This window comes from Homo sapiens, chromosome 17 (genome assembly GCF_000001405.40).
Source record: "Homo sapiens chromosome 17, GRCh38.p14 Primary Assembly".
Lineage (NCBI taxonomy): Eukaryota > Metazoa > Chordata > Mammalia > Primates > Hominidae > Homo > Homo sapiens.
In genome coordinates, this window is record NC_000017.11 from 42,194,713 (window position 1) to 42,208,652 (window position 13,940).

The 13,940-nt window shown below is 47.1% G+C and overlaps 1 protein-coding gene across 5 annotated transcripts in view; it reads right to left on the reverse strand.

The window, feature by feature from the left end:
• The window catches only part of STAT5B (signal transducer and activator of transcription 5B), an 89,194-nt gene continuing 79,718 nt past the window's right edge, over positions 4,465-13,940 (reverse strand). For all 5 annotated transcript variants that reach the window (XM_047436593.1, XM_024450897.2, XM_017024977.2 and 2 more), the window contains 4 exons: positions 12,846-13,016; positions 8,045-8,096; positions 7,628-7,735; positions 4,465-7,152 (listed from right to left, as the gene is read on the reverse strand). In XM_047436593.1, coding sequence (XP_047292549.1) covers positions 7,026-7,152; positions 7,628-7,735; positions 8,045-8,096; positions 12,846-13,016 — 458 coding nt within the window. In that variant the 3' untranslated portion in view covers positions 4,465-7,025. The remainder of the gene's footprint in view (positions 7,153-7,627; positions 7,736-8,044; positions 8,097-12,845; positions 13,017-13,940) is intronic.

Sequence of the window (13,940 nt, forward strand, 5' to 3'; positions counted from 1 at the left end):
CTTGAGCTGGGAGAGGGGCAAGCTTAAGAACTCTTAAAACCCCAACTCAGCTGGGCGCGGTGGCTCACGCCTGTATTCCCAACACTTTGGGAGGCTGAGGCGGGTGGATCATCTGAGGTCAGGAGTTTGACACCAGCCTGACCAACATGGTGAAACCCCATCTCTACTAAAAATACAAAATTAGCCAGATGTGGTGGCACATGCCTGTAATCCCAGCTACTTGGGAGGCTGAGGCAGAAGAATCACTTGAACTTGGGAGGCGGAGGTTGCAGTGAGCTGAGATTGCGCCATTGTACTCCAGCCTGGGCAATGAGCGAAACTCCGTCTCAAAAACAAACAAAACAAAAACAACAACAAAAAAAACCCCATCCTCTCCCTCAAGGTAGTTGAGAAAGAAAACAATTTTATTATTGAATAAGCATTCAACCACAATGTGATGTACATGACAGGTGATCTGCTAAGAGCTTGCAAAGAAGGGAGGAAATCTTACTTTTTTGTATAGCCAAGCGCATACAACCCATTACATACACGTTTTCAAGATAAACAATAACGAGTCCTCAAGTAAGAGGACTTGTCACATATAGTTTATCTTTTTTTTTTTTTTTTTTTTTTGAGACACAGTCTTGCTCTGTTGCCCAGGCTGGAGTGCAGTGGCACAATCTCAGCTCACTGCAACCTCCACTTCCCAGGTTCAAGCGATTCTGCTGCCCCAGCCTCCCAAGCAGCTGGGATTACAGGTGTGTGCCACCACGCCCAGCTAATTTTTGTATTTTCAGTAGAGATGGGGTTTCACCATGTTGGCCAGGCTGGTCTCAAACTCTTGACCTCAAGTGATCTACCCTCCTTGGCCTCCCAAAGTGCTGGGATTACAGGTGTGAGCCACCACACCCAGCCAGTCACATAGTTTATCTTAACTTTACATGGTTATTAGGTGAACATCTGTGTTAGCTTGCTGGCTTTATCCCAAGGAAAATTACAAACTTCTTTTTTTTTGTTTTTTTGGCAGAGTTCTATTCTTGTTGCCCAGGCTGGAGTGCAATGGCACGATCTTAGCTCACTGCAACCTCCGCCTCCCAGATTCAAGCAATTCTCCTGCCTCAGCCTCCCGAGTAGCTGGGATTACAGGCACGCATCACCACACCCAGCTAATTTTTTGTATTTTTAGTAGAGACGGGGTTTCACCATGTCACCATGTTGGCCAGGCTGGTCTCAAACTCCTGACCTCAAGTGATCCACCTGCCTCGGCCTCCCAAAGTGCTGGGATTACAGGCCTGAGCCACTGCACCCAGCCAGTCACATATAGTTTATCTTAACTTTACCTGGTTACTGGGTGACCATCTGTGTTAGCCTGTTGCCTTTATCCCAAGGAAAATTACAAACTTCTCTTTTTTTGTTTTTTGTTTTTGAGACAGGGTCTTGATCTATTGCCCAGGCTGGAGTGCAGTGGTGCGATCATAGCTCACTGCAACCTCAACCTCCTGGGCTCAAGAGATCCTCCTGTCTCAGCCTCCCAAGGGACTGGAACTACAGGTACGCACCACTACGCTCAACTAATTTTATTTTTTGTAGAGACGAGAGAGCTCCCTATGTTGCCCAGGCTGGTGTGTTCTTGACCTAGGCTCTCAAAACACTAAAACCACTCCCTTTCTCCCCTTACTTGCCTCTGGATACCTTTGAGAAGAGAGCTACTACTTGCTGAGCACCTCTCTTCCCTTCACAGCTGAGCTTCTTTCAACAGGTCTGTTCTCACTCTGGCTAACTCACCTCACTTTCACGTTTTTTCTCGCTGAGATCTTGCATTTGCTTTTATTATTTATTTAAAGACAGGGTCTTGCTCTGTTGTCCAGGCTGGAGTTCAGTGGCCTGGTCACAGCTCATTGCAACCTTGAACTCCGGGGATCAAGCAATCCTCCTACCCCAGCCTCTGAGTGGCTAGGACTACAGGCATGTGCCACCACACCCAGCTAATTAAAAACATTTTTTTTTTTTTTTTGTAGAGACAGGGGGTCTTACTATGTTGCCCAGACTGGTCTGGAACTCCCGGTCTCAGCGATCCTCCTACCTTGGCCTTCCAAAGTGCTGGAATTACAGGTGTAAGCCACTAGACCTGGCCCAGTAACAGCTTTATTAGATATAATTCACACACCATACAAATCACCCATTTAGTGTACAATTCAAGATCTAGTATATCCAGAGATATGTGCAACCAACACCACAGATAATAACATTTTCCTTACCTCAAAAACAAACCCTGCAGAGTCTCTCTGAGCCTACTGTGCCTCAGGAGACTGCCCAATTCGTTAAATAAAATAAAATAAAATAAAATAAAATAAAATAAAATAAAATAAAATAAAAAACCCCAAACTCAGGCTGGGCGTGGTGGCTCACACCTATAATCCCAGCACTTTGGGAGGCCAAGGCAGGTGGATCACCTGAAGTCAGGAGTTCAAGACCAGCCTGGCCAACATGGCAAAACACTGTCTCTACTAAAAATACAAAAATTAGCAGGGTCTGGTGGCCGGCGCCTATAATCCCAGCTACTTGGGAGGCTGAGGTGGGAGAATCGCTTGAAACTGGGAGGCAGTGGTTGTAGTGAGCCGAGATGGCGCCACTGCACTCCAGTCTGGGTGACAGAGCGAGACTCTGTCTCAAGAAAAACAAACAAAAAAAAAAACAAAACAAAAAAACCCCCAAACCCTGTATCCTTTCACTATTACCTCCAAACTCCTTCCCAGCCTCTAGGCAACCTCAAATTTACTTTCTGTCTCCATAGATTTGCCTATCCTAGACATTTCCTATAAATGGCATCATATAATATGCGGTCTTTTGTACTTGGCTTCTTTTCTTTTTCCTCGCTCTGTCACCCAGGCTGGAGTGCAGTAGCATGATCACAGCTCAAGTGATCCTCCCACCTCAGCCTCCTGAGTAGGTGGGACTACAGGGGTGCACCACCACATCCAGCTAATTTTTGTATTTTTTTGTAGAGATGGGGTTTCACCGTGTTGTCCAAGCTGGTCTTGAACTGCTGCACTCAAGTGATCCCTCGCCTCAGCCTCCCAAAGTGCTGGAGTCCCAGTCATGAGCCACCGTGCCCGGCCTGGCTTCTTTCATCTAGCATGATATTGTCAAGGTTCATCCGTGACAACATCATGTCCTGTGTGTCAGCACTTCATTCCTTTTTATTGCCGTATATTCCATTGTACAGATATACCATAATACATTTTGTTTATTCATCAGTTGATGGACATTTGGGTTGTTTCTGCCCTTTGGCTATTATGCATAATGCTGTTATGAACATTTGTCACAAGTGTTTCTGTACATATATGTTCTCATGGTTCTTATGTAGATACCTACAAGTGGAATGGCTGGGTTTTTTGTTTTTTTTTAATTTGAGACAGAGTCTTGCTCTGTTGTCCAGGCTGGAATGCAATGGCATGATCTCGGCTCACTGCAATCTCTGCCTGCCGGGTTCAAGCGATTCTCCTGCCTCAGCCTCCCAAGTAGCTGGGATTACAGGCGCGTGCCACCACGCCCAGCTAATTTTTGTGTATTTTTAGTAGAGACGGGGTTTCATCATGTTGGCCAGACTGGTCTCGAACTCCCGACCTCAGGTGATCCACCTGCCTTGGCGTCCCAAAATGCTGGGATTACAGGCATGAGCCACCGTGCCCGGCCCTATTTGTTCCTTAAGAGCCAGCTCCAGGCTGGGCATGGTGGTTCACGCCTGTAATCCCAGCATTTTGGGAGGCCAAGGCAGGTGGATCACCTGAGGTCAGGAGGTCCAGACCAGCCTGGCCAACATGGTGAAACCCCGTCCCTACTAAAAATGCAAAAATTAGCCGGGAGTGGTGGCGCCTGTAATCCCAGCTACTCAATTAAAATAAAAAAATAAAATAAAAAAAAAGCTTGAGTTGCTCAGTGGCCTTCCTGCATGTTCTTTTGCATAATGACTTTGGGATGCCTTGATTGCAGCAGGAAGCGATATCCTAGCATAATCAGTTGTGGTAGCTGCCTTTCTCCAACTGTGAGCCTCTGCAGGGAAGGCACCATTTCTCATCCCACACACAACGCTGAACTCAGGGTCAGGTACTCTAAATGTGCTGAATCTTAAGGACAGGCTTTCAGCCGGGCGTAGTGGCTCACGCCTGTAATCCCAGCACTTTGGGAGGCTGAGGTGGGCAGATCATGAGGTCAGGAGATCGAGACCATCCTGGCTAACAAGCTTTCTGGAGTCAGGAGGCTAGGAGACCATCATTCTTATTTTCAAAACATCATATGAGCAGGAAGGTATGAAAGGCCCCATCTGCCATCAGAGCTAATGACGTGCCCTCTGAGGCAGCCAACTCCCAACCACCCAACCAGTTCCCTTTTTCAGGGTCACGCTGATGACTTGAAACTTTTCCGTGTTCAAGCTGCCCTCCCTTGGCATGTGACAGAAAAAAGTAAAAACAGGACTCAATACCATCCCTTCAGAGGAAGGCTTTATTGTAACATAAAATACACAACTTTGTGACTGTAACTCTGCATAGGATATATTTCTTTTTTTTGAGGCAGAGTCAAATTTGAGGCCCCAAATTGTACACAATACTTTTTTTTGGTGGCTAAATAACTAATCTGCCTTGACACTAAAATATGTATCTGAAATAATTTCACCAAGTTTTAAAAAGAAAAATTATAAAAAGTATACTTTCATTTTAAGTTATATTCGATTTTAGTCTCCCCCTACCCCCTAGAAAAAACCTGCACATCTCACACACGGAGCTGAAACTTTTGAGGACTTGTGTGTGTCTGGGAGTGGGTGAGAGGCTGATGGGGTCGAGACACACCACTACCTTTATCTTGTGGTTTGCAGGAACAAGGAGGAGAGAGAAGATAGAACGCAGAGAGCGAGCACACCTTTCATCAAAAATCTCCACTCTCTAGGCACAGCCTCGGTAACACCGAGGACAGCTCACAACTGGACAAGCAGGGAAACCCCAGCTCAGGGAAGCCACACTCATCAGCTCTCTTCCTCCCCAACCCAGTGCCAACTGCAAAGTGAGCCAGGACGGCCTGGCTGCTCTGTCCTCAGCAGGCCCTGGGGTGGGTCCACTCCCAACCTGAAAGTGTATCAAGTCTGACCCCCCAACCAGGGTTGCTGGAACAGAGAGCGAGGTCTCAGAGGCAGGTGCTGGTGAAGCATCTCTGGGAGACGGGCAGGGAGTGACTCTACGAGCCTGGATCCCTGAGCAGGCAGGCTCTCCTTCTCACCCTTCCCCGATGCACCCATCCTCATGGTTGGAATTTTCATCAAATCTTGAGGGGTAGGGAGGGGCTGAGTGGGATGCGGGTAGCCTGCTCCTCAGAGGCAGAGAGACTCTACTGCCTGGCATAGAAAAATAAATCAGTGTATGAAACCAAGCCAAGGCAAACGGCAGCTTTAAAAAAGTCATCTTCCAATAAATAATTTACTATAGAGGAATATTTTTAACGGCAAAACACTGATAAATTCAGAAGTTATTTTTGTAAAAAAAATATGTTTATTTACTCTCATGTATAAAAATAAGGTTTTTGGGGCCATCCTCTCCTGGGGGTGCCCATGCCCTTCTTTTGGAGAGGGGGCCGAGGGGTGACCTTTTAGGCCTTACCCGTAAGCTATTTTAATACACCTGCTCACCCCCCTCTTCCTCCACTACCTGCTGTAGCCCATTCCTTCCTTCTGGTGTAAAGCTACAGAAGAAGTCGTGGAACAAAATTATACCGAGGCTTTTTTTGTTTTGTTTTATACTTTTATCAAACTCCCCAGCAAACTTGCTGACTGCATTTCCACACATTACCAACACCTGCCAGGACTTCACAGCAGGGTGACCCGCTAAGCAAGCTGGCCTAGGTTCAGCCCACACTGCTGCTACCTACTCTTCAAGACATTAGGTGTGAACAGAGAAGGGGAATGAGGTGACCTGGGTTTGAATGACCCAGGGCCCAATGCACAAGAGAGAATTTTGATGTCAAATTAGGGTGGCAAGGAGAAAACAAAAAAGATCCAACTTAGAAACAGAACCATGATTCAACATTTGCAAAAAGCATCATCAATAAGCCTGAAGAAGGCCACGGACTGTGCATCCGCTGGCTCAGAGAAAGGCTGGGCAGCCGGAACAGCAGCTTCCTGGGTAACCAGGCAACAATCTCAGCGCCTGGGAGTCAGGGCTGCGCACTCCACTCTGGCCAGAACACAAACGGCATTGGCACTGTAAGCTCTCAGTTACGTGGCCCTCTTTTCTCTCCTCTATTTCTCCAAACATATGTGCACACCCAGAGGAACTGAGTGGCAATTCCAGGGTGCGGGCGGGCAGGAGGGGAGAGAGGACAAAGAGAGAATAAGATGAGCTAAATGTTTTGTGAAAAGCCACCGCCCATCCGAAAGCTTGTGACTTCCCTTGCCCCAACAATCTTTGTAGGTTGCCCCTTTTCCCATTCCTACCCAAGAACACAGGGGTGGGGGAGAGGGAAGGCTCTCTTTGTCAAAAAGCAGTTATCTACATTTCAGAAGAAAAGCAGAGACAATCACGGTTATATATCAATTGCTTGGCAGACAGAGTGACGAAGACTCACTGGAGCACATGTGCTTTCTCCTCCCTTTGTCCTTCTCTTATTCAAACAGCCACATGTCAAAGTCCAGCCACTCTTAAGACACATGGCCAACTTCCAGGCTTCACGAAACTCACTGCCTTTTTGCACAAAGTAAAAACCACCACAGCTTCTGTCTGTGGCCCCTCTGCTACAACTAAACTCTCAGACAGTGAGAGGGAGAAACACCATAACGTGCAAACACGCACACACACACACACACACACACACACACAAACACATACTCGCACTCCCTTCGCTGGTGCCACCATGCACAGAAACACTAAGGTCACAACTAGTATTAACACTTCACATTATGAGTATTGTTTCAAAAGAGAAGCGATTCATGGAATTAAAACATCCACAAGAGTGATTCCTCTGGTGAAGATGAAGAAGCTGAAGATGGAGAGGTCGCGGGGTCACGATTGTGCGTGCGGGATCCACTGACTGTCCATTGGCCGGCCCAGGAGCTCCTCCACACGCCGCGCTACGTCCATTGTGTCCTCCAGATCGAAGTCCCCATCGGTGTCAAGGACTGAGTCAGGGCTTGGGAGGGAAAGAAGAGGGATGAAGGGAAGGGGAAAGCCTGCCAGAGACCACCCCAAGCCCCACAGGCCACCAGGGGAGCAGTCTGAGCCAGCCTATGCCCTCAGCCTGGGGCTTCATGGGAAAAGAACAACCATTCAAACAGCTGGCTGTACAGCAACTCAGACTGAAATACCCTCCCCTGTTACCTCTCACACCGGCTGTCCAGACACATCACAACTCCACTCAGTCCTTAGAGCAAGAAAAATCTCCATATTGAGAGAGGGGAACAGATGACATTTGCCCAACCCGACTCTAAACCACCAATCACTTCTGGTCAAATCTCTCCCTCCCAAAGGCCAGAGCCCGGGCCAGGGCTGTGTGGTCTCAGACCTAGAGGAGCTCTGGATTCCTTTGACCCCAGCCCTCCAGGGGTCCAGCCTGGGGCCAAGCCCCCAGTTCCTCCCCTGTGGACCCCCACAAGAATGCCACCTACTTCTGTGGGTACATGTTATAGTGAGCCTGGGGACACACAGCTGGGGAGGGGGCCTGGTCCATGTACGTGGCGCTGCCGCCCCCGGCATCTGCAGATGCGTTCACAAACCTGCAGAAGGAAGAGAACAGAGCTTCAGCTGCCAGGGAGGCCAGGGCAGCTGACTTGGGGAGGGGACCAAGGGGTATCTTTGTCTTTCTCAGGGTGTAGAAGGACAAAGTGCCCCACTCGGCCCTGGGGCTCCAGCTACAGGAGTGGGGCCTCAGGTACTGGCATAGCATCACCAAGCCCAGGTCCTTCCCCAGGGCTGAGACAGTTTCCCCGGGGGAGCGGAAAGCTGGGCCAGGATAAGGATGGGAGGCAGGGTCTGGGGGAGGAGGAAAGAGGCAGAAGGAGAGCCACAGCCACCTGGACACTTACTCAGGGACCACTTGCTTGATCTGTGGCTTCACGTATCCATCAACAGCTTTAGCTGCCAAGGGAAGAATGTAGTAAATCAAAGTTCTCAAGTGAAACAAAAATGTGATCTTCCTTATGAATCACATCTTTTCTTAGGACAGAACACAACCACCTAACTTATCTAAGGATATGACACAAGCACTTAATATTTTTTTGTTTTGTTTTTTGAAACAGTCTCACTCTCTCATCCAGGCTGGAGTACGGTGGTGCAATCTCGGCTCACTGCAGCCTCCGCCTCCCAGGTTCAAATGATTCCGATGCCTCAGCCTCCTGAGTAGCTGGATTACAGGTACACCACCACACTTTGGCTAATTTTTGTATTTTTAGTAGAGATGGGGTTTCACCATGTCACCCAGGCTGTTTTCTAACTCCTGACCTCAAGTTATCTGCCCACCTTGGCCCCCCAAGGTGCTGGGATTACAGGCATAAGCCACCGCACTTGGCCAAGCATTTAATATTTCAATCTGTTAGGAAGACCTGGTAGAGGAGAAGGTCAGCACTAAAACTGAAATTCAAGATATCTTCCAAATTGGCTTGGATGTTTCAATAAATTCTTCAAACCATGGAAACTATGTACTTCAATACAAATCTAAGTCAAGCACTAATTGCATACTAATTAAAAAAAAAAAAACACCTTGAAAAGCTTAAAGTCCAAGATGCAGCAGAGAGACAGGATTTGTTCTACCTGACCCAGGGGATAAAATCAGGACCAGGAGGGGCAGGTCATAAGAGGACAAATGTTCAGTCATGCAGGGAAGAATGTTCTAAGTAGAACTGCCAGGAAAAGAAATGATTTATCTTAGGAAGGACTGATTTCCTTGTCACTGGAGGTTTTCTTTTTTTTCTTTTTTGACAGAGTCTTACTCTGTTGCCCACACTGGAGTGCAGTGGTGCGATCTCAGCTCACTGCAACCTCTGCCTTCTGGGTTCAAGTGATTCTCATGCTTCAGCCTCCCGAGTAGCTGGGATTACAGGTGCGCACCACCATGCCCAGCTACTTTTTATATTTTTGGTAGAGATGGGGTTTCTCCATGTTGGTCAGGCTGGTCTCGAACCCCTGACCTCAAGTGATCCACCCGCCTTGGCCTCCCAAAGTGCTGAGATTACAGGTGTGAGCCACGGTGCCTGGCCATCACCGGAGGTTTTCAAGCAGGAGGTGCATACACGTCAGGGATCTAATGGAAAGGCCTAGGCACTGGAGAGCCGCTGATCTGATCTGATGATGTCTGAGGTTCCTCTAACTCTGAGTGTCTAGTCTTTCAGGAAAGGGAAGGCTACTTTTCCCAGCACCTGCACGCTCCTTCACGCCTGGTGTTTCTGCATTTGGGGTACTTTGATGTCACTAGTCCCAGTGAGTGCTGTTGGTGCCAAGAATGCGATGTGTCCTTTGCTTCCCACAGAATCCCCACTGGGATGTGGCAGATGAGCAGATAAACCTGCACGTGATCTGGTCAACCACAGTTACCTTTTCAGAAGGCTGACTATGGAAATCCAGGTAAGCAGGTGGTAAGAATGTGATTATCTGACATGGGAGAATGAAGTCTTGTTTCTGGGTACGTGAATATGGGAATCAGTACAAAGTTAATTATACTAGGCAAGGACGATCACACTATGATTATAGGACAAGGAGCTTGTCATTTAAGTAGCCCAAGAGGGTGAAACGCTGCAGGGTTCACCAATTGCTTATTACCCTAATCTTCTTCTAGGGCTTCAAGTGTCAGGAGCGACCTTTTCATAACATGTTTTTTGTGCTTTACAGTGTACAGAGTATTTTATAGATTGGCTAAGAAGTTAAAAACAAAGAAATGCTGCCAGAAATAGGATTTTATTTTTTTCTGAGACAGGGTCTTACTCTGTCACATAGGCTACAGTGCAATGGCACAATCATAGCTCATTGCAGCCTCAAATTCCTGGGCTCAACCAATCTTCCAGCCTCTGCCTTCTGAGTAGCTGGGACTACAGGCATGCGCCACCAAGCGCAGCTAACTTTTTCTTTTTTGTAGAGATGGAGTCTCACTATGTTGCCCAGGCTGGTCTCAAACTCCTAGGCTCAAGCAATCCTTCCTCCTCCGCCTTCTAATGTGCTGGAATTACAGGCATGAGCCACTGTGCCCAGGCCCAAATTATAAGTATCTTAAATAACCAACATGTAACTCACCATACAGTGGGATTGTATGCAGTCATCAAAATGAGGTTGGAAGATTACATTTACTGAGCTGTAACTCTGCATAGGATATATTTCTTTTTTTTGAGGCAGAGTCTCGCTCTGTTGCCCAGGCTGGAGTGCAGTGGTGTGATCTTGGCTCACTGCAACCTCCGCCTCCCGGGTTCAAGTGATTCTCTTGCCTCAGCCTCCTGAGTAGGTGGGATTACAGGTACCTGCCACCATGCCCGGCTAATTTTTGTATGTTTTTTAGTAGAGATGGGGTTTCACCATGTTGGCCAGGCTGGTCTCAAACTCCTGACCTCAAGTGATCCACCTGCCTTGGCCTCCCAAAGTGTTGGGATTACAGGCATGAGCCACCATGCCCAGCTACCTAGGATATATTTCCAAGTAAAAAAAAAAAGTCACAAAAAATTACATATGATATGGTCTAGACTCCAACCTTTCACCCTGAACTCCAAGGCTGGAGTGTCCTGACCTCAGTTCCTACCACTTATCTTCCCTGCTCAAGAGGCTCCAGCCTCCCTGGCCCTCCTGAGGCTTTCCAGACATGGCCATTCTCAACCCAGGATTTTTGTACTTGTTCTCTTGGCATACAATGTTTTTCTCTAGATCTTTGTATGGCTAGCTTCCTCACTTCATTCAGGTCTTTTCAAACATCACATCCTGGCTAGGTAGAGTGGCTCATGCCTATAATCCCAGAACCTTGGGGGACTGAGGAAGGAACATTGCTTGAGCCCAGGAATTTGAGACCAGTCTGGGAAACACAGCAAGACCCCATATCTATAAAAATAAAATAATTAACCAGGATTGGTGGTGCATGCCTGTAGTCCCAACTATGTGGGAGGCTGAGGTGGGAGGATCCCTTGAGTCTAGCAGTTTGAGACTGCAGTGAGCAATGTACTCCAGCCTGGGCAACAAAGTGAGACCCCATCTCAAACAAACAAACAAACAAAACAACAACAAAAAAAACAAACATGTCCTCAGAGAAACCCTCCTTGACCACTCTAGTAAAATAACACCTCCACTCTCCTCCCTGCCACTTCTCTATCCCTCTACCTTGCTTTATTTGTCTTCAGGGCGCCCATCACTAAATTAATATATTTGTGTTTTGTTTGTTTTTGAGATGGAGTCTCGCTCTGTCACCAGACTGGAATGCAGTGGCATAGTCTCGGCTCACTGCAACTTCTGCCTCCCTGGTTCAAGCAATTCTCCTGCCTCCCTGGTTCAAGCGATTCTCCTGCCTCAGTCTCCCAAGTAGCTGGAATTACAGGCGCCCACCACCACACCTGACTACTTTTTGTATTTTTAGTAGAGATGGGGTTTCACCATGTTGGCCAGGCTGGTTTCAAACTCCTGACCTCAGGTGATATGCCTGCCTCGGCCTCCCAAAAGTCTGGGATTACAGGCATGAGCCACCGCGCCCGGCCTGAATATGTTTCCTTGTTTATGGTCTTCGTTCTGCTGCTAGATAACCTCCACACAGGAAGTTCAAGCAACGGGTGATGCAATGTATAATACATATCTATATATAGAGTGCAAGAATAGTCACTAAATCATCCATAGAGGTTAATCTCTAGATGAGAGATGTTGTGTGGTATCTGTTTTTTTGTTTTCTTTTCTTTTGTTTTTGAGACAGAGTTTCACTCTTGTTGCCCAGGCTGGAGTGCAATGGCACGATTTCAGCTCACCACAACTTCCACCTCTCGGGTTCAAGCAATTCTCCTGCCTCAGCCTTCCCGAGTAGCTGGGATTACAGGCATGCGCCACCATGCCAGGCTAATTTTGTATTTTCAGTAGAGGTGGGGTTTCTCCACGTTGGTCAGGCTGGTCTTGAACTCCCGACCTCAGGTGATCTGCCTGCCTCAGCCTCCCAAAGTGCTGGGATTATAGGTGTGAGCCACCACGCCCGACCTTCCTTTTTTTTTTTTTTTTGAGACTGAGTCTCACCCTATTGCCCAGGCTGGAGTGTGGTGGCGTGGTCTCAGCTCACTGCAATCTCCACCTCCTGGGTTCAAGTGATTCTCATGCCTCAGCCTCCCGAGTACCTGCGATTACAAGTGCCTGCCACCACACCTAATTTTTGTATTTTTTGTAGAGATAGGGTTTCACCATGTTGGCCAGGCTGGTCTGGAACTCCTGACCTCAAATGATCCGCCTGCCTTGGCCTCCCAAAGTTCTGGGATTACAGGCATGACCCACCGTACCCAGCCTGTTTTCTTTTTTATGCCTTTATGTGTCTTCTGAAAATTTTATAATAAATATGTAATACTTCTAAACTCAGAAAGCAATAAAACCATCTCTGTCATGAAAAACAAAATTTTACCTAATTTTGTTTGATCTAAGCTTGTATTAAAAAGAATTTGTTTTCTTCAATTTGATATTTGGGGTTAGTGGTAGATGTGTTTTCTGTATGACTGAAGAATCCAGCCCAAGGTTTACATCTGCCCTGGAAAATGCTCAAACTGCTCTCACTGAATGGTAATTGTGTGGGTTTTCACACAAGAGAGATAACACACGCAGGTATGCACACACACACACACACACACACACACACACACACACAACAAAATCAAATCAGAATGCGAACATTGTTACCAGTAGCAGACTCGCAGGGAACTGGTGTGTAGTATTTGGAGTATACTTCATCTTTTGGCCGATCAGGAAACACGTAGATAAGGTAATTCAAGTCTCCCAAGCGGTCGGCTAGGGACCGAATGGAGAAGTCTCTGGTGGTAAAAGGCATCAGATTCCAAAACATTCTTTCCTCTAGATCAATAAACAGAACAATCACATTCTAAACATGATTTCTGAATTAGGAAATCTTAAAACCCCAACATACTATAAATTCAAGCTTGCCATTATAATGGCTCCAATAGAAATCTCCATTTAAAAATAACCATGGGTTATAGATGAAATACTTTTATTTATTTACTTACTTACTTACTTATTTTGAGACGGAGTCTCACTCTGTTACCAGGTTGGAGTGCAGTGGTGCGATCTTGGCTCACTGCAACCTCCAACTCCCTGGTTCAAGCGATTCTCCTGCCTCAGCCTCCCAAGTAGCTGGGATTACAGGCACGCGCCACCACACCTGGCTAATTTTGTATTTTTAGTAGAGATGGAGTTTCCCTATGTCAGCCAGGATGGTCTTGATCTCCTGACCTCATGATCCACCCACCTCAGCCTCCCAAAGTGCTGGGATTACAGGCGTGAGCCACCGTGCCCGGCCTGAAATAGTTTTAAAAGCCATGGGTAGGGGCCAGGCATGTTGGCTCATGCCTGTAATCCCACACTTTTGGAGGCCTAGGCAGGTGGATCACCTGAGGTCAGGAGTTCAAGACCAGCCTGGCTAACATGATGAACCCTGTCTCTACTAAAAATACAAAAATCAGCCAAGTGTGGTGGCACTCATCCGTAGTCCCAGGTACTATGCTGAGGTAGGAGAATGGCTTGAAGCTGGGAGGTGGAGGTTGCAGTGAGCTGAGATCATGACACTGCACTCCAGCCTGGGTGACAGAGACCCCATCTCAAAAATAAATAAATAAATAAATAAATAAAAATAAAAGCCATGGGTAGATAAGCAGGTAATACAAAAATCACTTCCCAAGAGATCCAATGATCTCAGACGTTTCAAGTTCAAACAGTATTCTAGCCCTCAGTAGAAGAAACAGTTTTTACTGGCCCCCAATC